At 42.7% G+C, this 21,108-nt stretch overlaps 1 protein-coding gene across 12 annotated transcripts in view, besides 2 other annotated features; it reads right to left on the bottom strand.

Annotated features, from left to right (window-relative positions):
* The window catches only part of PBX1 (PBX homeobox 1), a 326,864-nt gene that overhangs the window by 287,391 nt on the left and 18,365 nt on the right, over window positions 1-21,108 (bottom strand). The gene's annotated exons all lie outside the window — the stretch shown is intronic.
* Window positions 5,032-5,975: an enhancer, noted in NCBI's record as "H3K27ac-H3K4me1 hESC enhancer chr1:164561919-164562862 (GRCh37/hg19 assembly coordinates)". NCBI's record gives its function as "activates a minimal SCP1, AML or CMV promoter by ChIP-STARR-seq in naive H9 embryonic stem cells {active_cell/tissue: H9 hESC(naive)}" and the evidence as "EXISTENCE:reporter gene assay evidence [ECO:0000049][PMID:30033119]".
* Window positions 7,057-8,024: an enhancer, noted in NCBI's record as "NANOG-H3K27ac-H3K4me1 hESC enhancer chr1:164559870-164560837 (GRCh37/hg19 assembly coordinates)". NCBI's record gives its function as "activates a minimal SCP1, AML or CMV promoter by ChIP-STARR-seq in naive H9 embryonic stem cells {active_cell/tissue: H9 hESC(naive)}" and the evidence as "EXISTENCE:reporter gene assay evidence [ECO:0000049][PMID:30033119]".

Genomic DNA, 21,108 nt, shown 5'->3' with positions numbered 1-21,108 from the left:
GAACCAATGACAAAATCAAATGCAATCAGGTTTTTCAAGGAATTTACCACATACTGAGAGTTCCAGTAATCCAACAGAAAATCAACAAACACTAGTATGTTCCTCAGAGAACTCTGGGAATTAAACTAGTTCAGCTCAACTGATGTCTCTCCTATCTCTAAGAGTGCCGGTAGTCATCCATCCACAAGGTTTGGACTGGAGAGATACACAAAGAAGCCCTAAGACAATGGAAGACAATGACTTAACCCTCCACAGTGTGCCTTGGTCTCGACACCTAACTCCTGTCTGAAATTTTCCAGCTCTGGTCTCTACCACCCTCTAGGAAGGGAGGGAACAAAGGAAGGAGAAAGGGGAAAGAGAGAAAAGAAAAAAAGAATTCTTACTCTAGTAGCCAGATAAAAACAAACAAACTGGCTATGGTTTGAATATGTCTCCCAAAAATTCATGTGTTGGAAACTGAATCCCTCTGCCCTCACGAATGGATACAAATGGATTAACATTGCTATCCTAGGAGTGGGTTTGTTACTGTGGGAATTGCTTTGTTATAAAAGCAAGCAGTCTGGCTCTCTTGCTCCTGCCCTCTCACCATGTGATGAACTCCACCATGTTACCAAGAAGGCCCTCACCAAATGCCAGAGCCATGCTCTGGGACTTCCCATTCTCCAGAACCACAAGCCAAATACACTTCTTTGTGAATTCCCCAGTCTGTGGTATTGTTATACCAACAGAATATGGACTAAAATACCAGGAGAACCAGAAACCCAGGAATTGGGGAACTCTCCAGAAATGTACAGCAATAATTAATTTAAGTCTCTTAAATTAATTATTTATTTAATTTTTAAATAAAAAATTTAAGGCCAAGGCATCTTAAAGGCCCAGAGTTATAACCTACAAACTCTCCTGAGGTATTATATTTACAACATGGCTGCGAGACCCCAAAACGAAGGCCATAAAAAGTCTATTCTTAAAGGTAATGTCCTAAAATATAGCAGAAACTTCACAAATTCATGGAGAAAAAGTACATACCAGGTCCTGGCTTCAAGGCAATAACTTTAGAATTATCATAGGTGGGAACAACAAGATGAATATCATGGTCCTCTGAAGGCTGTATAAAGATTTGGGAAATTCTTGATCCTTGGCCAACAAATTTCAAAGTGTGGTAGAAAATTATCTCTGCACCCCCAAATAGCTCCATTTCAATACCATTATTCCAAGAAAACTAGATAGTTCCACGTCGTCATAGAACTATGTTATATTTTCCAAGTGTCAACCCTTGATGTCACCATCTACTTACAAAGGAGAAGAGATGACCACCCTTCTAGGGGACAACAACCAACTCTGTTCCTTCCACAAAAGACAGGGAAGATAGTCTTCTTAGAAGGCCCTGAGGGGCCACATAAACCCATCCTGGCTGAAGAAGTGAGGTAACTGGTTGTACAAAAAGAAGCAGACATGATTTAAAGCACTGTTTTCAGACTTTTTAATGAATAACGATTCCTCAAAGGAAATGTTACACCATTGAGCATTTTATAAAACAAAAATAAGCATAAGAAAACCAACAAGAAGTCCAAGCTAAGTGTAGATCCTGGAACAGGATCACTGAACCCCCAGGGTTCCAACCCAAATAAAGACAGAGGGTACAGGGTGCATGCAAGTAACTGATCCAATTCAGGAGACTGAGTCTCATATCCACGCTGTACCACTTACCTGTGGTGTGGCCTTGGCCAAGGAACTAAATTTCTCTGACCCTGGAGTTCCTCCTGGATAATTTCTTTTTTTTTTTTTAATTTAGAAAACACTGAACAACATAAGAAGTAAAAAAGCTCAGAGATGAGTGTGGAAACAAAATTAGGGTGAAGTAACAGTGACAGAAATAATAACACCTTAATTCTTAATACACTAGGATGTCACTATTATCCCTACTTTATACATATGGAACTGAACCTGAAAAGTTAAATGCTGTGTCTAAAATCAGGATGAATGGAACAGAAGCTTCTGCCCCACAAACAGGTATGTTTTCCACTAGATACAATAAACTCCTACATCATAGGCAGGTCTATAATGACTCTGGCAATAGTCAAAGTCATTTGAAAATGCAAAAAGTACACAGTAAAAATATGACATAAAAATGAACTTGCATTATGACAAACCAGTAATGTCCCCAGATATTGCCAAATGGCCCCTGGGGGCAAATCACCCATGGTTAGAACCACTGCTCTAAATATATGGGTTGAAACTAAAAATGCCTTTGTAAGGAACAGGCATATAAAAGTTAATGAGTAAGGTGTTTGCATGGGAGGGACTATGATGAACTAGAAAGCTCATGCACCATCTCAAGGAGAGTGCATATTTACCATGTAGGAAATGAGGCCCGATTTTACCATGTGATTTTGCAAGGATTCAAACCTGAATTTGTATGTCAATGTGAGACCCTAATGCACTTGAAGGTAACCTTTCTGCACAGAAAATATTTCAGGGGCTACTTTAGTTGTAAAAGATACCTGATGTATTAATGCATTAAAGTTCAAAATTGAGAAACCAAGAAAAAAAAAAAAAGAGGGGACCTGCAGGGCAATAAAACAAAACAAAAACACATATCCAATTTTTCCCTTTTACTTGTTCTTTACAACTCACTCTAATAGTAAAACTGGACTGAAACAACAGACTTTCTTTTACTGAGAAATTCTACTTTCCATTTTTCTGTGTTCAGAGTACCATATTGAACTCCACCAAAGCCCTAAAAATTACAACCTTTGGAGCTATTTTGTCAGCTGTATTTCCCTAAAACGTATTTTTCCTAGCTAGCCCAGGCTGGGTGTCTCTTTCTGTCATTCTTTTCTTATGAGCCCATTTGCAAAGACAGGGTCTAATTCTGTGTTCTTTAGAGCACCTTTCATCCTGTTGTTGATTAACACTAAATAATAATGATGTTTATAATAATGGCTGTCAATAATCATAACCATAACCATCATCTCCATAAATAAGATTTCCCACTGGTGGTTTCTTGAAGCCAGTGAATATACAACGATCATATCAGTTTGGCAATCACCTACTAAAAGCAAAGCTGAGCTAGGCGCTGACAATGAGCAAATGAATCATGCCAAAAGTGGGGATTAATAAATGGCTCCTCTTCTCCTTTAAAAAAAAAAAAAAGGCTCCCACCATCATCAACTAGCCAGGTGACTGACCTTGTTTTCCATTACAACTACTCAGTCTTAGCTTGAAGAGCCATCATTCATGTCATCCTCAACTGCTTCACAGCCAACTTGCCACCGTGGGACCACTACTGAAAACTGCTCTACTGCCACTGCCCACTTGGCTCACCAGAGCAATTTTCCAAGGGCTCTGATCACGGCTTCCACGGATTTTTAGGGAGAATCATGCCCAAGTCCATAGAGTTGTACCAGGGAAGCTCTGGGCAACAATAACTTCATTCCACTGAAGGGAACTTTGCAAAGCAGAAATCCCATTTCTTGTAGAGTAAGGAAATTCTTAGGAATCAGAAAGCTCTCTGCTAATAGAAAGAATACAATATAACTCTAGGTTCAGACGTGGTACTGTCTTAAAGTCTGTTAAGGCTCTAAGTTCCAAGCCCAGGCTATAGACTGCATAAGAGAGGATATAAAAGTATGAACAGAAACCGGGTTCTTTTGTCTTCACGTTCAAAGCAGTAGAGTGAAGACAGTATAATGAAAAGAGCTCTGGAGGGAGACGTGTTTCATTTCTGCCACTTATTAGTTAATCACAGTTCTGGGCCTCAGTGTCCTGATCTATAAAATTAAATATTTGGAGTAGATCTGTGCTGTCTAGTAAGGTTGCCACTAGCCACTGTGGCTACTGAGCACTTAATGTGGCTGGTCTAAATTGGTAAAATACATGCAAAATAGTGAAGACTTAGGACAAAAGAGATTATAAAATATCTCATTAACATTTTTATGTTGATTACATGTTGAAATAGTATTCTGAATATACTGGAAAATATTTTATTAAAATTAATTTCACCTTTTTTAAACTTTTCTTAATGTGGCAATTAAAAATTTTAAATTTTCTACTTAAATTTAAAGTAACTCTATTTTGGCCGGGCACAGTGGCTCATGCCTGTAATCCCAGCACTTTGGGAGGCCAAGGCAGGAGGATCACCATGTCAGGAGTTCGAGACCAGCCTGGCCAACACGGCGAAACCCCGTCTCCACTAAAAATACAAAAATTTGGCAGGTGCCTGTAATCCCAGCTACTCGGTAAGCTGAGGCAGGAGAATCGCTTGAACCCAGGAGGCAGAGGTTGCAGTGAGCCGAGATCATGCCATTGCACTCGAGCCTGGTCGACAAAAGCAAGACTCCGTCTCAAAAAAAAAGAAAAGTATCTCTCTTTTTCTCAGTGCTGTACTAAATGATCTCCCAAGTCTCTGTTGCAGCTTTAGCATTCTGTGTTTCATCTTGTGCTTCTGCGTGATCTTCCTACAGCAAGTTAGAAGGAGAATTTAAATCATGTCTTTATAGAGGCTCAACGTCCTTATCTCTAAAATGGGGATAATGCCACCTTTGATGTGAGATGAAATAGGAAAGTGACATGAAATTAATAAAGTGCTATAGAAATTAAGTTATTATAATAATCACACTATGCTATTAATTCCCAGGAGGTTCTACCAAGAAACAGCAACCTGGTATGACAGGTGAAAGAAGGCTAAAGTGGGAAAAGTGAAGCTTCTCCCAAAGGAAGAAAATATCAGCCTCACCTTAAAGTTTCCAAGCTTACAGGCATGAATGAACTCTGAGAGAATCAGGAGCTCAATCTCTCGAGAGCAAGAGATTCTCAGAACAGTCATGCAGAGCCACGGAAGAAACGGAGATAATAACAATAAGTGCCTGCATTATGTGTGAAAAGCACCTTGGTCCCCAAGCACAAGGCACTTTATATTTTAAAGGAAGTACATGGTGTGTTTTCAACCCAGTGAAAACTAAAAAAGGAAGAAAAAACTTAGCAATATTTTTGCAAAATTCTGGCTATTTATTATTTTTCCAGCCCCCACCCCGCCGCCACAACCTTTAGAGGTAAACCAAATACCCACATTTTTATAGATGAAAACAAAACAGAGGCTTACAGAAGTAACTTGCCCTGGGTTGTGCCACTGGTAACCACTGAAGCTGGGGTTTACAACCAGGACTCTCTGATTATTTTTCTCATCAGGTAAAAGGTGAGACAGTATGGGAGCAGACACAGTATTTCTAACCTTTTGGGGGCATAGATTAATTCTTTGGAAGTAACCTTGGCACCTGGGGTCCACCTAACATTTGAAAAATAAAAGTGCTACTACAGCAACCCACCAGGAGTCAAAATCCAACAAAATGATGTCTGGAATTATAAAGAGATAAGTTGGGTTAAAAAAGAATCTAAGGGTTGGCCAGGCGTGGTGGCTCATGCCTGTTATTCCCGCACTTTGCAAGGCCGAGGCAGGCAGATCACTTGAGCCCAGGAGTTCAGGACCAGTCTGGGCAACATGGCGAAACCCCATCTCTATTAAAAATACAAAAATTAGCTGGGTGTGGTGGCACACACCTGTAATGCCAGTTACTTGGGAGGCTGAGGCATGAGAATCCCTTGAACCCAGGAGACAGAGGTTGCAGTGAGCCAAGATCACGGCACTGCACTCCAGCCTGGGCTACAGAGCAAGACTCTGTCTCAAATTAAAAAAAAAAAAAAAATCTAAGGATTGTGTGCTACATACAAATGCTGGGAAAGTACTAGCTCCCAAGTTCCCATTGTGGGGAAGGAGAGAGAGCAGCCTGTCACAGGTGAGTGCTCACGACAGAAAACCCAGGGGCAGTCTTTATCCTCAGCAAGGCCAGCGCGTGGGAGCCTGGTGTGTCCAGGAAGCAGCAGAGACTCTACTCAGGAGGGATGGTTGGGGATACAGAATTCAAAGCCTGAGGAGCAATAAGCCCTGACACCTGGCTGGCCACATGTGGTCGTAGATCCTGTACTGCTTTTCAACTTACTGTGTGGAGATGCCATGCCAATTCCAACAAGGCCATTCCCTTTCACTCCCCCTGGTCCAGGCTAGACTCTGCCCCAAAGCCTCTGTGGCCAGGGCCAGCACCCTCAGACTCTGCTCAGACACTGCTGCTTCTCAATGACAAGGAGAAATGGTAATCACAACTGTGGCCTCAACTTCTCCTTTCCTTTCTCAACAGACCATCAACTTTGCAGACCCTTGAGAATTAAAGGCCTGCCAGGGATGATCTTAACTTTGGAAAGTTGGGCTACTAGGCAAATTTGCAGCAATAGAAGCTGCTTTGTGATTTCCCTTAAACTCAACCAAAATGGTTGGCATGGAGGTTTACACGTCAAAGCTAAGTGTTTCTATTTCCTTTCCTAGGACATATACTGGGATGAACCTCATCCAGACTCTCACACTCAAACTATGAGCCCTGTGAAGATTTCATATGCTAGGAAAGAATCGCTGTTGCTCTCTCTTAAAACCACAGACTTGAACACAACTTGATTTGAACAAAGGCCCTCCTCCCCACCTCCCTCCAGCTTCCCAACCCCCATCCCCTTCATCTGCCTTTCCCCCCAGCCACATTAACTACTCAGAAACACAGTCACTCCACTCTAGAGTTACTCAGGAATCACATTCTTAGAATAACTCATCAATTATACCTGTCAACTTGCCAAAAGTGCCACAGGGGAGGTGGAAAGTCTAGACTGCAATGAACTGCAGTGCCACAGCACCCCTGTTCACAGAAGGCCCCAACTTTGCAAATGCCTTTACAGGCTCACAAGAAACAAGAATCCAAGGAAATACAGGAGCACTGGGTTAGAATGCAGACACTATCACCAAGTTACTCTCAGGCTCAGGGTAGGGCATGGATCTCTCCATTTCTCTACTTGTAGGATAGGAAAACCTGCACAAGTCTGCTAACAGAATGTTCTGCCATACAAAGCCTGGGTTAGGAAACATTAAAAAGAAATGTCACTGTATTATTTAATATGCACACAAGCTCATCATCAATAAAAGCACTGCCAAGAAAGCAGCGCCATGACAGACATACTTTTAATTAATTGGCAAGGATCATTAGTAATTAGAACATTTATTGTATGCAAATGCTGCTGCTAACTCTGAAAAGTTTACTCTCTTAAGCAGGGTAAACATTCACATGAACCCGTTTGTGCTACTAATATAGTTACAGAGCTCCTTTTTTCATGGGTGAAAAGGTAAGTTTTCATTCAACTTAGCCCGAAATTATTTAGAATCCACATTATCAAAGATCTTAATTAATAAGGTTTTCCCTTGATTCCAAAATTTTTTGTGAACAGAACTCTTTTCCAGAAATATTTAACTGGGGGCCAGGAGCGGTGGCTGACGCCTGTAATCCCAGCACTTTGGGAAGCTGAGGCAGGCAGATCACTTGAGGCCAGGAGTTCCAGACCATCCTGGCCAACATGGTGAAACCCCGTCTCTACGAAAAATACAAAAATTAGCTGGGCATGGTGACACATGCCTGTAGTCCCAGCTACTTGGGAGGCTGAGGCAGGAGAATCGCTTGAACCTGGGAGGCAGAGGATGCAGTGAGCCAAGATCATGTCACTGCACTCCAGCCTGGCAACAGAGCAAGACTCCATCTCAAAAAAAAAAAAAAAAAAATTAGCCAAGTGTGGTGGCACACGCCTGTAGTCCCAGCTACTCACGAGGCTGAAGAAGGAGAATCACTTGAGCCCAGGAAGCGGAGGTTGCAGTGAGCCGAGATCGCACCACTGCCCTCCAGCCTGGGTGACAGAGTAAGATCTTGTCTCAAACAAACAAACAAAAACCTCAATAAATGTCTGGAAGGGTAATCATGCAGTCAGAGATTTTTTTTTTAATATCCTGAATCTTCAACATCCCTGTAGAGCAGACTTTGCTCTTTATTTGGTTTACAGTTTAACAAATCCTTAGATCAATGCCCTGTTTACCCCAACAGACTAAACTCCCAATTGCTCTAACCATCCAAGCTTCCAAGGGCTAGGTAAAAGCATACACTTTTGGGAGTCATATATAGTCCACTATGATTCTGAAGATTTAGGGGAGGAAAAGGCAATAGATCTCCTGGTCACAATGCCAAGTAAGATTTCACACTGTTGTCCTCCTCATTAAGGCTCACCAAAAACGGCACCTCTCAACTTAACTTCCTCCTCGTCAGTTTAGGCCCCATTATTCACTTCCCACAGAGCAGCTTGTTTACCTGAAGCACAGGGGGGCGGCGGCGATTGGGAAGAAGCAAGCAGTGCAAGTGAGCAAGTCCAGAGCACAAAGAAAACAAGGAGCATGCAGGAGAGCCCTGTGGTAGCTCCTAATGAGGCTGGGACAATCAAGAAAGTGTTCCCCTTTTGGCTCCTCCCTTTCCAGTTGCGCTGGCCAAGGTATTTCTTCTATCTGCTCCCTGACCCCCAGCTTTTTTTTTTTTCAACACAGGGTCTCGCTCTGTTGCCCAGGCTGGAGCACAGCAGCACGATCACGGCTCACTGCAGCCTTGACCTCCCAGGCTCAGCAATCTTCCCACCTCAGCCTCCCGAGTAGCTGGGACTAGAGGCATGTGCCACCACACCTGGATGTCTTATTATTATTACTATTTGTAGAAACAGGATCTCACTATGTTGCCCAGGCTGGTCTTGAAATCCTAGGCTCAAGCCATGTCTCACCTCAGCCTCCCAAAATGTTGGGATGAAAGACATGAGCCACCGCACCTGGCCTTTCTTATCAGCCTTTTTACGGGAGGCTCCGTGTGAGCATTAAGATATTTATTTTTCTCTGACAAACAAGAGCACCACAACAGGAACAGAAATCTAATTCAACTTCAATCACTGGATCACTATAAGACCTTGGAAAAGTCACTTCACCTTCCTCCCCAGCAATTCAATCTTAGGAACAGGAATCAGAAAAGTATTTGTCAGTCTCCTTCCCCATGGTGACAGGTGGATAATATCTCCTCCACCCTAAATACCTCGCAGGGATGGAGAAGGATGGATGAGCAGGCATTACAGCCAATATTCTACTCTCTGGCAATAAACAACTCACCTTTTGGAGGTAAACGGTCTCTTTCCAGGGCACCAGGGGATCATTTAGCACTCTGGAAGAAGTAATTTGCTCTATGGTTCTCTGGTGTCCTGAAAAGTGTAATCCACCTCCAAAAGGTGAACCCTTATATCCCAGAGAATTTGTTTTCTCTGGGATCAGAACGCTTTAATGTTTTCAGTTTCAGGAAAAGACACCACAGGTATCATTTTCTGGTCAAGAGAAGACTCTTCCCTCTCCCCGCCCCCTCTCCTTACTGATCATCCCATACTCTCTTCCCCTCAAACAGAAACCAGATGAAACCATCTGCAAACAACTTGGGAATGCTGTGTGTGTGCCTGCAGAAACTTAAACAAAAATCCTTTCTCAGCCGCGCCCCCCTCCTCCTTCCAGTGGTTGTTAAGGGCCCGGCGAGTTAATGGGAACTTTTCTCCTCTCCCCTCCCTCCCCCACTGCCCCTCTCCCGCCTGGGTCCTCAGCATTTGATTCCTGTCTGTCACTGAGTGATGAGGACAAAGGGTGAGGAGTCAGGAAAAGGTCTGCGCCACTTTGTTCAGAGTCTGGATTCGAACTTTGGATGAACCCTTCATCGGGGAGGGGGCTGGGGAGGAGGGGAGAGGCCGGCAAGGAGAAATCCGCTGCTGTTCTCGCCGCTGGAGCCTCAAAAAAGAGAGAAAGATTCTCTTTAAACAACAGAAAGGAAAAAAGAGGGTTAGGAGGGTAGAAACAGCCTCCCTCAGCCCAGTTAGGAAAAGGAGGGCATGGTGGGGGCGGAGGGATAAAGGGGGCTGAGCTTAAGAAAACAGAAGGCCGGGGCAACGCGCTCAAACAAGGCTGTTGGGCCCATGCTGTGGGCGGCCAGCCAAGAGCTAGTTTTGTTTCTTCCCCCTCCAGCCTCTCTCTCTCTCCCTCTTATTTTTTTTCCCCCTAAACCAAAGGGAATTCCTAATAAAGCCACAGCAGACTTGTAGAGAGCAAGGGAAAGGAAGAAGGAACCAGAGGTGGGGAAAAAAACAGATGAAACTCATTGCTTTCTGGAAGTCCAGAATAAAGAATATATATGCATATAAAATTATAGCACACTTCACCATATGCTTCGAAACTAAAAAAAAAAAAAAAAAAAAAAAAAAAGCTTAGTCCGGAGTGTATTTCTCTTTTCTCTTTTTCCTCATCTCTGTGTGTGTGTGCACTTACATATACTGGCTGGCAACTTTTACCGTGTGATTTTTTTTCCCCAAATCCTGTACTGTAGTTTTTAAAAAGCACTATTAACATACAGTTGAAGTCACAGCAAAAGCCAGTTTGTCTTCTTTGTGCTCAATAAAACCCAGCTGAAACTCTTTCACCTCCCCTTACTATTGATTTTTCTATTGTGCTCTACAGGCGGGTGTATCTCACTCACTCATCAGACTGCCTTTCATTCTGTGAACCTCTCTGACCGCATCTGGATGTGAGGTTTTTCAGCTCCCTGCGATGGGTATCCTTGCTTCATTCAATCATTTGGGGCCCGCATGCAACCATGCAGTCACTTTTGGTTTGGCCTCTGTCCTTTGGTCTTTGCCCCAGACTCTGGATTTCACTTCCAAAAAGATCAGGTGTCTATCCCAGCACAGAAGATGAGAGGTGACAAGGCATCCTTGCATCCTAGGGCTCTTTCTCTTCTCTTCTTGCATATAAAAATGGGACTTCAGTGACTGTGCAGGAGATTCAGAAAAGGGGTGGGGGATGAGAAGGAGGATCAGGGAGGAGTGTACTGCTGCAACATCTGGCACCTGTTCTACCTCTCCTGGGGACACCCCCTGGTGTGGCGCGTGTGAGGCTGTATGTGCCGGACTGCTGCAAGTGAGAACTCTGTGTCTGTGTGTGCCTCATCCGCACAAAACGATGTGAAGAAGAGAAGCAGATGGGTCAACAGGATGACTATTCATTAATCTTCTGAGAAACTGGGTTAGGAAGTGAATCCGTGTATTTAAAACTTCTCATTTTGCATTCCTATGAATGGGAGAATAAACTCTACACTTTGAATAAGAGTGCATGACATCCTTACTCTTAAAAAAAAAAATCAGACACACAAAGATCATCAGCTAACAACAAAGAGGCAGATAAAGTGCTGGGTGAGTATACACAATACAAAAAGGGCTCCTCACCCGACAAAAGGGAGTGCTAGAAGCATAGACCTGAAAGGGATCTTATTAATCATTCATATCTAACCCCTTCACTTAGAGATGAGACAGCCAAGACCCCCAATGTGTAAGCAACTTACCAAGTCACCACAACACTCTCCACAACACTCCCCTCTGGTGTTCCTTCTGTCATATACATTGCTTCCATGAAACTAAGGAATGGACTTAAGTTTAGGATAAGGATTACCAAAATCACACCCATACACTTTTTAGGAACACATCTACATAAAAGTGAAAGATAGCAGTACATCTTACCTGAAGATACAGCAGTAGTTGTAGCATCCTACATCCCAGTTATGTAAAACCGGGAATGAGAAACAGGGACACACACACACAAACAACACCCTATGCTGCTCAATGTCAAGCATGGGCTTGCTATTTCGCTGGTATACCTCGTTATGCATGACATCCTTACAACGCAGAGCTGCTGCTGAAATTGGGTGTGAGGTCGACATTCAAATCTCATTCTCCATATAAAATCCTGGTGGACTGTTGCCACTGTTCTCTCTGTGGGCAGATAACCTCTATTTTCAAGTTCCCTCTGCGGATAATGGTCTCGACTCACCATCATCTGACTCTCAATCACACCTCTCTGTTCAACTCCCTTGAGATCTCCAGCTCCATATTCACTGCATGCCCCACGAATTCTGTGTTCAACAGGATTTCTAAATCTATGCCATGTTCTAAATCAGCCCTCCACATGCCTGCCAATCTGTGACTTCTTTCTCTTGCTTTGATTTTATAAGCAATTGTGACAGTATAGGTTAACAAAGAAATCTTAGTTACATGGTGCTTTATAATTTACAAAGCATTTTACGCCCATCTCACTAGAGATTCACAACCTCCCTGGAAGTGGACAGGGCCTGGATAATGAGTGTAACTAGTGCCCCCATTACAGATAAGAAATTGTTCTGAGTGAGGTGCCCCCTCATTACCTATCAACTCAACATAGAACAGTCCAGTAATTGTTCCCTTGCATCATAATGCTGCTCCACATGGGCTCAGATGTTTCCATTCCACCTTGGAAATGAAAAGGGGAAAGCATGCATTTATTGAACATTCATCACGTGCCCAGTCCTGTGTTTGATGCTTGTTCTTGCAACAGGGATAACTTCAGCACGTTTACCATGAGCAGCTTCCTCTAGCACAGCAATGAAATACATGCACATGTGTCTTCTGCAGATAGTACACACCCCTTTGCTCTTCTTATTCCTATTTGTCTGAACACATTACAGCAATAAGTCAGTCCACCAATGTAAACCCCTAAACATAAGATGTGTGTGCCCATAGGACTATGAGAGCAATCACCTACATTTACAGTTCTTTCAACATGTGTGTAGTACAGCACCTATCTGTGAATATCAAAGTTGTACTGCCAGGTTCCCCAGTTGTTCTTCTCTCTTTTTTACTAAGTACTCCTGGAAAAAGCCATTTGTTGAATATCTGAATGAATGAATGAATGAATGAATGTCATAAGCACTACTTATTCAAAGGATGTTATACAGAAGAGGTGAAACTATATATTGACATTTATTTCATTAATTACAGAAAGGAAGGGGGTTCTTGTTTAAGAAAGGACTTCCCATGAACATTGGATGTAAAGAAAAAGTTTACAACCCAAAATGCTAAAAGCTTCTCAGCTAGACATACATTGTTATTAGCTGCCAAGATGCCCAAGTCAGGATGGCAGCCTTGGCAACTAAGAAGAACATAAATAAGAAATCTTAATAGATTGTGGTTCTACTGAGCAAGAAAGTGAAGCAACCACAGAAAAGAATCAGAGAAAGGAACTGGTTCTAGTGGTCTCTAAACCAAGCCAAAAGAAATGTTCAGGACATTTTTATTTAAATGCACTGGTTCTCAATGCCTGACTACCCCCCTCAAAGACTACAGTGAGATTCCTTGCCTGACACTGTCCCCCAACCCCAACCTCCCCAGACAAGTCTATAAATAGCAAAGCCACTAAAGCAAATGCTAAACTCAACACTGAGTGGGGCTGATGAGGAGGGAAGTTTGCAGGGAAAACTGAGTTTCTCACTACTCCTTACTCAGAAACATTAGAACTGCCCTGGGATTGGGGGAAGGGTATCCCCAGGGAATGACCCCAAAAAGTGACAGCCAAGTTTGAGATATCACAGACCATGACTAGGAATTTTCACTAAGGGAGGAGGGGAATGGAAAAAGGTGGGTAAAATTCTTCTTTCACTCTTCCCCAGGAAGAGGTTTAAATTACACATACTCACATTGGAAGGGGTTGGGGAAGGAGTGAGGAGTGTGCCCAGAAAGATGTCCATTCCATTCTTTCCCTTGCCTCCAGTTCTACAACCTCTTTCATTGATGTCAAATTAATTAGTTAATTTCCATTTTTAGCTTCCTGGTTTTATTTATTTTATTACTATTATTATTACTAGCAGTAGTAGTAGATGGAAGAGTCCTTTTCTAGTATTTTGGTTCATCTGATGGGAGGAAAACTGGACAAAAGGTCAACATGAACAGACAGAAAATTAGTTTAGCTTTTAAAAGAGGGGGAAAAAGAAAAGAGGAGATTTTGCAGATGAGAAGAGACAGGCCAAACTGTGGATGGGGATAAAAGGAAGGTACTGGAACCTGAGCCCTTGATTAGTTAAAGAAGCAGCTGCCCCCTCACCTCCGCCTCTCCCACTGGAAGGTTGTGTCCAGCCAGCTTCCTAGTCTGATTATCACTTGCCTTCACACGGTCCTCAGGTGTCCTCTCTTGCACACCTCCCATTCTACCTCACCCCCATCTACTCCATGATACCCCTCTTACTCTTCACACACCAAAACACAAAATCTTAACTCAGAAAACAGAGAGCTATTCAAGAACTTCTCCCCATTCAGTAACATGCTGATCCAAACCAGAAACCTTTCTCTCTGAGCACTTAACTGGAGTGATCCAATAGATCTAAGAGATCTAAGAGGCTTTTCCATCCTGTCTTCTAATTCTCGACACATCACATAAGAGCATACATAAGATGAACAAACTAGTATCCTTCAAGCAGACAATACTACTTTTAGATCTCTCTCTCTCTCTCTCTCTTTCTCTCTCTCTCCCTCCCTCCTTCCTAGAGACTGAGTCTGACTATGCTGTCCAGGCCGGACTAGAACTCCTGTGCTCAAGTGATCCTCCCACCTCAACCTCCCTAGTAGCTGGGATTTATAGGTATGCACCGTACTGCACTTGGCTTTTGGAAATAATTTCTTAAGATATTCACTCTAAAAATATAAGTAAATCCAAAGTAGATTTAGGTGAATTATTTGTGATTCCTTTCCTCCTTCCCCTCTCCCTCCCTTCCTTCCTTCAACTAGCATTTGTTGGGCATCAAATATATATACCAGGCACTGGTCTAGACATGCAAAGATGAATAAAGCATGGCTCACTAGGACCTTACCATCTTCAAGGGGGAGCTTGCAATCTTGGAGAAAACTGGATTCATCTTTCAGGACTTTCTTTGAGAACATATTGTGGGTTAAGTGCTATGCTATACTTAAGTTATCTTCAAGGGCCTGATCAAGAGCTGCCCTAAAGCGCCTTCGTTTTCTCCCAGAGGTAAGCAATTTGAGGACAAGTTCCTATCTTATATTTCTCACTCTGCCTGCCATAGAAGTACCTGGCAAATGGTTTTTAAATAGAAAGAAGGAAGAGGAGAAAGGAGGAAGAAAAGGAAATAAGGTAAACATTATTTCTAATAAGTGTAGCAATGAGTATCTAAAAATTAACAGCCCTGGATAAAACCAGTTGTGGTAGTTATTTGCTTTTTATACTCTTCATTTTACACGTATGTCTCAGGGACTGTCCCTCCTGGCCTTCTTAGGAACCATGTTTCTTCTGTAAGCCAGTCACAAGAATCACAATGGTGGCCACAACTCCAGCTGCCCATGAAAAATGGAACAGTGTCTCCCAGCTAAGGCTGCCAGGTCAAGTCAGGAGTAGACTAAAAGAGGGGCCCCACTCCCCTCTCACCCTGTGACCTGAGATTCAGAGAGGCTGGGTTAGTTAGCCCAGGAATGGAACCCTCTTCCCTAAAAAAGAATGGAAGCAAAAAACCAAATCTACAAGACAATAGCCTCTCTCCTCTCAGAAAACTCTCACATGCCCTATTATTCTTTTTTTTTTTTTCCCGCCTCTCTTGGCTTAAAGATCCAAACCCCAAATTCTAAAAGGTGAAGCTGGCTGTAATGAGAGTGTAGTTTAAGCAATCTATAAGTCATTTCACAAAAGAATGTTCACACTTCTATCATGTAGCAATTATCCAGCTAGAGTACAATATAACTATTAATACATGTTTATTCCCAGTAAATCATACCTTCCTCAAGGACAGGGACTTTTGATTCATCCCTCTTTTTATTTCAGAGTAAAGAGTAGCAAGTACTCAGTAAGTGTTAATAAATTAAATTTTCCCCTTTTGAATAAGCAGATAAAACAGTGTTTCAATTCAAAAATATATTAACTGAATATGTACTATGGGCTGAGCATACAAATCCTGTTCATCATTTTCAAGAAATTCTGAGTCTAACAAGAGAATTACATAGTAAACCAATAATTATGATAACATCTGATGAGTGCTGTGGATGGGTTATGCATAAAGGGCTATGGTAAAACATGAAATATAATTTTTTATCATGTCGTTGAGGGCAATGCCTATCATATCACTAGCATCTTCTTACTAGAAATTATGAGGCCGGGCACGGTGGCTCACACTTGTAATTCCCAGCACTTTGGGTGGCCAAGGCAGGCAGATCACCTGAGGTCAGGAGCTCCAGACCAACCTGACCAATATGATGAAACCCCATCTCTACTAAAAATACAAAAATTAGCTGGGTGTGGTGGCATGTGCCTGTAATCCCAGCTACTCGGGAGGCTGAGGCAGGAGAATTGCTTGAACCCAGGAGGCAGAGGTTGCAGTGAGCTGAGATCGCGTCACTGCACTCCAGCCTGGGGAACAAGAGCGAAACTCCGTCTCAAAAAAAAAAAAAAAGAAATTATGAAAGAAATTTTGCATGGGGTCCAGTACCAGGAAAAAAATCTGCTTCTCCTTAAATAACTGATTAGTTTCCAATTCTAAATGTTTGGCAATTTGAAACGGATCCTATTTCCCTTTTTTGCTTTTGCTACTAGGAAGCACAGAATCAAATCTGTAGCCAACCTTTCTAGGATATGGACTGAACAAGGTCCTAGACTAGTTTGACCCAAAGAGACAGTAGCTACTTCCTTACTAGCAAAAGGCCTGAGAAGTTCACAATAAGAAAGGATCTTATGGATACCATTTTACATACTAACATTCCCTTGCATGTTATTTTATTGCCCTACCTGAATTTTTTTCTTCTAATTTCCTCATTTATTTAGTAAATCTCTTGGTATCTCTCACATCTTTTGGTAAGCTTCTTGCATGCCTTTTTGAAATGAAATAAGCAATAAACAAATAAATAAGATACATAACAGGTTCTGTGGATAAATATGTTCCCTGAGTACACAATCATCCCCAAGACATGGAAAATTTACACAGCCATAAGGAAAGTAACACAAGAAAATGTAAACACAAGAAAACTGAAAATAGACGTTGAACTAGGATAGTATGATTAAAGGTAAATTAGTAGATTTATGATTTTCTTTTGTAAAATTTTCTTTATTAAGGTCTTCTTGGTAATAATGATGCTATTATTATATTTTTAATATCAACAGTATTGTTTTCTAAACAGTAAGTTTTAACATGAAATGCCTTGAACTTTTTCTTCCCCTTCAAAGACCTGGGGTGATATGAACAGCTTCACCTTCACCCTGGTCCTGCATACCAGGCTGTTCTCTGGGCCACCACTGCAATTTGGAAGGTAGATCTTCCCTCCTCAAAACTGAAAACACCCACTAATCACAAAAGGGGGCTGGGTGCGGTGGCTCATGCCTGTAATCCCACCACTTTGGGAGGCCGAGGCAGGCGGATCACAAGGTCAGGAGTTTGAGACCAGCCTGGCCAATATGGTGAAATCCCGTCTTTACTAAAAATACAAAAATTAGCCAGGCGCGGTGGCCCGTGCCTGTAATCCCAGCTACTCGGGAGGCTGAGACAGAAGAATCACTTGAACCCGAGAGGCGGAGGTTGCAGTGAGCCGAGATTGCGCCACTGCACTACAGCCTGGGTGACAGAGTGAGACTCCATCTCAAAAAAAAAAAAAAAAATGGCGGTCGGGGAGCTGCTGGATATGCCTTTCCAAAAACAGAGGCTCTGTAACTGGACAGATGAGACTTTTGGGTCTCACCATGGAAGCATCCATCCGCACCACGTAGAATCACTGGAGGGCCCAGGGCCTAGAGTCTGGCTGCACCAGGGAGGTGGTGTGATAGGACAATGGGCACAGGAAGGGTGTGCAAAGGCAGGACCCTGTGCCCTGCTTTATGCTTCTGTCAAAATGCTGGACTTCTGAGAAGGAACTAGGAAAGGTGACATATACAACAGCGGTGGTCAAGCTTTAGACCCCCTGCAAAAATAAGTCATGCTTGTTACCTGAAAGAAGTCAGGTGGATTCTAGAGCCAGGTGCGGTGGCTCATACCTATAATCCCAGCACTCTGGGAGGTCGAGGAGGGTGGATCACCTGAGGTCAGGAGTTCCAGGCCAGCCTGGCCAACATGGTGAAACCCCGTCTCTACTAAAAACACAAAAAAATTAGCCAAGTGTGTTGGCGTGCTCCTGTAATCCCAGCTACTCGGGAGGCTGAGGCAGGAGAATCGCTTGAACCCAGGAGACAGAGGTTGCAGTAAGCCAAGATTGCATCATTGCACTCTAGCCTGGGCAACCAGAGCAAAACTCCATCTCAAAAAACAAACTTGGCTGGGAATGGTGGCTCAACGCCTGTAATCCCAGCACTGTGGGAGGCCGAGGCAGGTGGATCACTTGAGGTCAGGAGTTCAAGACCAGCCTGGCCAACATGGTGAAACCTCTGTCTCTACTAAAAATACAAAAATTAGCCGGGCATGGTGGCGCACGCCTGTAATCCCAGCTACTCGGGAGGCTAAGGCACAAGAATTGCTTGAACCCGGGAGGCGGAGGTTGCAGTGAGCCAAGATCATGCCACTGCACTCCAGCCTGAGCAACAGAGTGAGATTCCATCTCAAAAAATAAAAAAAGTCAGGTGGATTCTAAAAACAGAATAGGCAGAGGCCTAATGAAAATCAGGAAATAAGCTCAAGGCGAGTTTTGAACTTATCCTCTTTACTTGTTTTGCAGCCAGCCACAGTCATGAGATAATTAAATTTCTGTACCTGAGAAACAGGATCAGAAATGAGTAGAGCCAGACAATTTGTTATTTGGACAACCAAGTAAGATTCCACTGGATTTCCTTGGAAGAATCACAATTTGATGGGCTGTCACTCAATGGGAATGAATATTTTCATAGAAAAATCTACACTTAGTAAAACTTACCAAGTAAAATCTCCAAGTCAGCCTCTCTCTCATTAGCTATGTGACTTTAGGAAGATTCACTAAACTCTCTATGCCTCAGTTTCCTCATCTTAAAAATCAGAGTAATAATAGCGCTGTACCTAACACATTTTTTAAATATGCATTAACTCCTATTACATATGAACAGGAGAATTCTGGGCTCCTGTTTCATACAGGAAAGTATGAAACATCACTTCTGCCGACATTCTCTGTTCAGTTTCATTCCAGGATGATCCACCACTACTGGGGCCCAGAGCACTCTTTCCTTCAAATCACTTGGAGCACACAAGTATAAAGTAACAGCTTAACCATCTATATTGCATGTTTCCCTTCTTCGACTGACAGCCAGGACAGACAGACTGTGCTGTCTGTGTGTTCCAAGAGTCAGAGACGCCTCCAGGGCTGGTCTGCCCCAGTAACTGGGCTGAACAAGCTCCTAGACCAGTTTGATCCAAAGAGACAGGCAGCTATTTCCTTACCAGCAGGACTGGGCAGGCCACAGTGAGAAAGACATCACACGGAATATCACAAACCTTAAGGAGACAGGTGGTCTAATGACACAAGGCCTCAAAGAGCATTAAGTTAACCCAGTATGTTCTACTAGCAGGGAGGGAGAGAAGGGGAGGGTATGAAAGTGAAAGATGACGCTAAGCATGAAAATTTAATTTGTTAAAAAAATGGAAGACAATGCACAAATTGTCTACATGTACTTATTGAATATATAATAAATGTAGGGTATAAACATATATGTGCACTATGATAAAAATTAATTCCAGCTTCTAGAAAGCATTGCTGTTTGTCTCCCTGCTAGCAAGAACCCTGGAGCACAGAGGTAAATTTCACACTTCCTCTCAGTACTCCTTCAAGGCAGAAGCAGACCATGTAGCTTAAGCTGCCCAGGTGAGCAAATGTCACAGAATGCCTATTCAGCGGGTGGTAAATTTCAGCCATCCCACGGAAATGCCAAGTGGTCTCAGGTCACAAGTTTGGCAAATAGCAATGGGGGCGGGGAGGGCGTGGAGGGGTGGGTAGGCCCCAGTAGAGGGGAGGAAGAGAACAAAAGAGAGTGAAAGGGGAAAGGCAGAAAGGAAATAAAGGAGGTTACAGTGCTTGAGGAAAGGCAGGAAGGCCCAGTATGCAAGGACTCAAACATAGAACATTTCTGAGGCATCCAGGTAAAAAAACTAGAACTCCTTGATTCAAAGAAAGCATGCTTCTGCATGTATCACCAGGGCAGCAATGAACTTTGGTCAAGAATGACCTTTACAGCCACACTCCTGGCTCTGGGGAACACATTCCAGGCTCCTGTCATGGGCTTTGGGAGTGATGGACCTGCCCATGTCACATTGATTCTGCCCATGATTCAGGCCCCTGGAAGCTCCTTGAGGGTAAGGGCCACAACTCACACATATCTGTATTTTTCAGTCTCTGTCACAACACTTCAGGCATGGGAGAAGTTTCACAAATATTTGCTAAAGCAATAATTAGACCAAAATGGAATAAAGACTCTTCAGTCCCATCATGCCCTCCAGGAGGTCTAAAACAAAAATGTTGAACGGTATTTCTCAAATGAAAAAATAAATCCAACCAGGATAGAGATTCATTTTTAACTTTTTCACTATACAACCTGTGGAAGATAAAGAGTTTTCACCAACATCTCCAGAACATAGGGCATTCAAAAATATTTTATGAAACTTACTTAAAAAATAATTGAGCTTCCATAACCTCTACTTACAAAGGGCAACATGCAGGAGGTGACATTATAGGTAAGAAGATATACTCCAGTGGGATCTTGACAACACAAACAATCTTTGCATACTTATACCCAAATGGAAGCCACTGGAGAGATGCTTCTCTCCCCTAGGAAGTCACCAAAACATCTCTACTTGAAACACCTAGAGAGGAGTCAATAGAATAAATGAGTAGGAGGATGGGGGTGTCCAAATCAGGAGCAGAAGGAAGCAGTTATTTCCATTCTTTACTATCACCATTGCTGATATTATTATTGCTATGCTTATATTTTAGCTGCAACATCTGTAACAGTCAGAAGCAACAAGAGAACTCTCAACCTACATAATAACCCTTTCGTCCTCTCCCCCAGAGTTACTAGGATGAGAAATTCATCCTGTGAAATTAATAATGGGCTTGATTCTCCAGCTGGTGGATCAGAGACTAGGCTGGTGGAAATTTATAGAGGGAATTAATTTATAGATTTTCGAAGTAATGAGGGAATTCAACCTTCCTGACTTCTAGCTCTCCCACATTCATTCAATAGAAAGTTTCTGGACCGTCTACTGCAGGACCTGCTGGTTTCCTGTGAAGCTGTAACAGAGCAATAATAAGCAAGCACTAGAATACACTTAAGAATAATAATCACACATCAAGAACATCTTTCCTAGTGTAACTTTCTAAGAAGAAAAA

The sequence above is a fragment of the Homo sapiens genome, chromosome 1 (genome assembly GCF_000001405.40).
Source record: "Homo sapiens chromosome 1, GRCh38.p14 Primary Assembly".
Taxonomy (NCBI): domain Eukaryota; kingdom Metazoa; phylum Chordata; class Mammalia; order Primates; family Hominidae; genus Homo; species Homo sapiens.
This window is presented reverse-complemented; position numbering and strand designations above follow the sequence as displayed.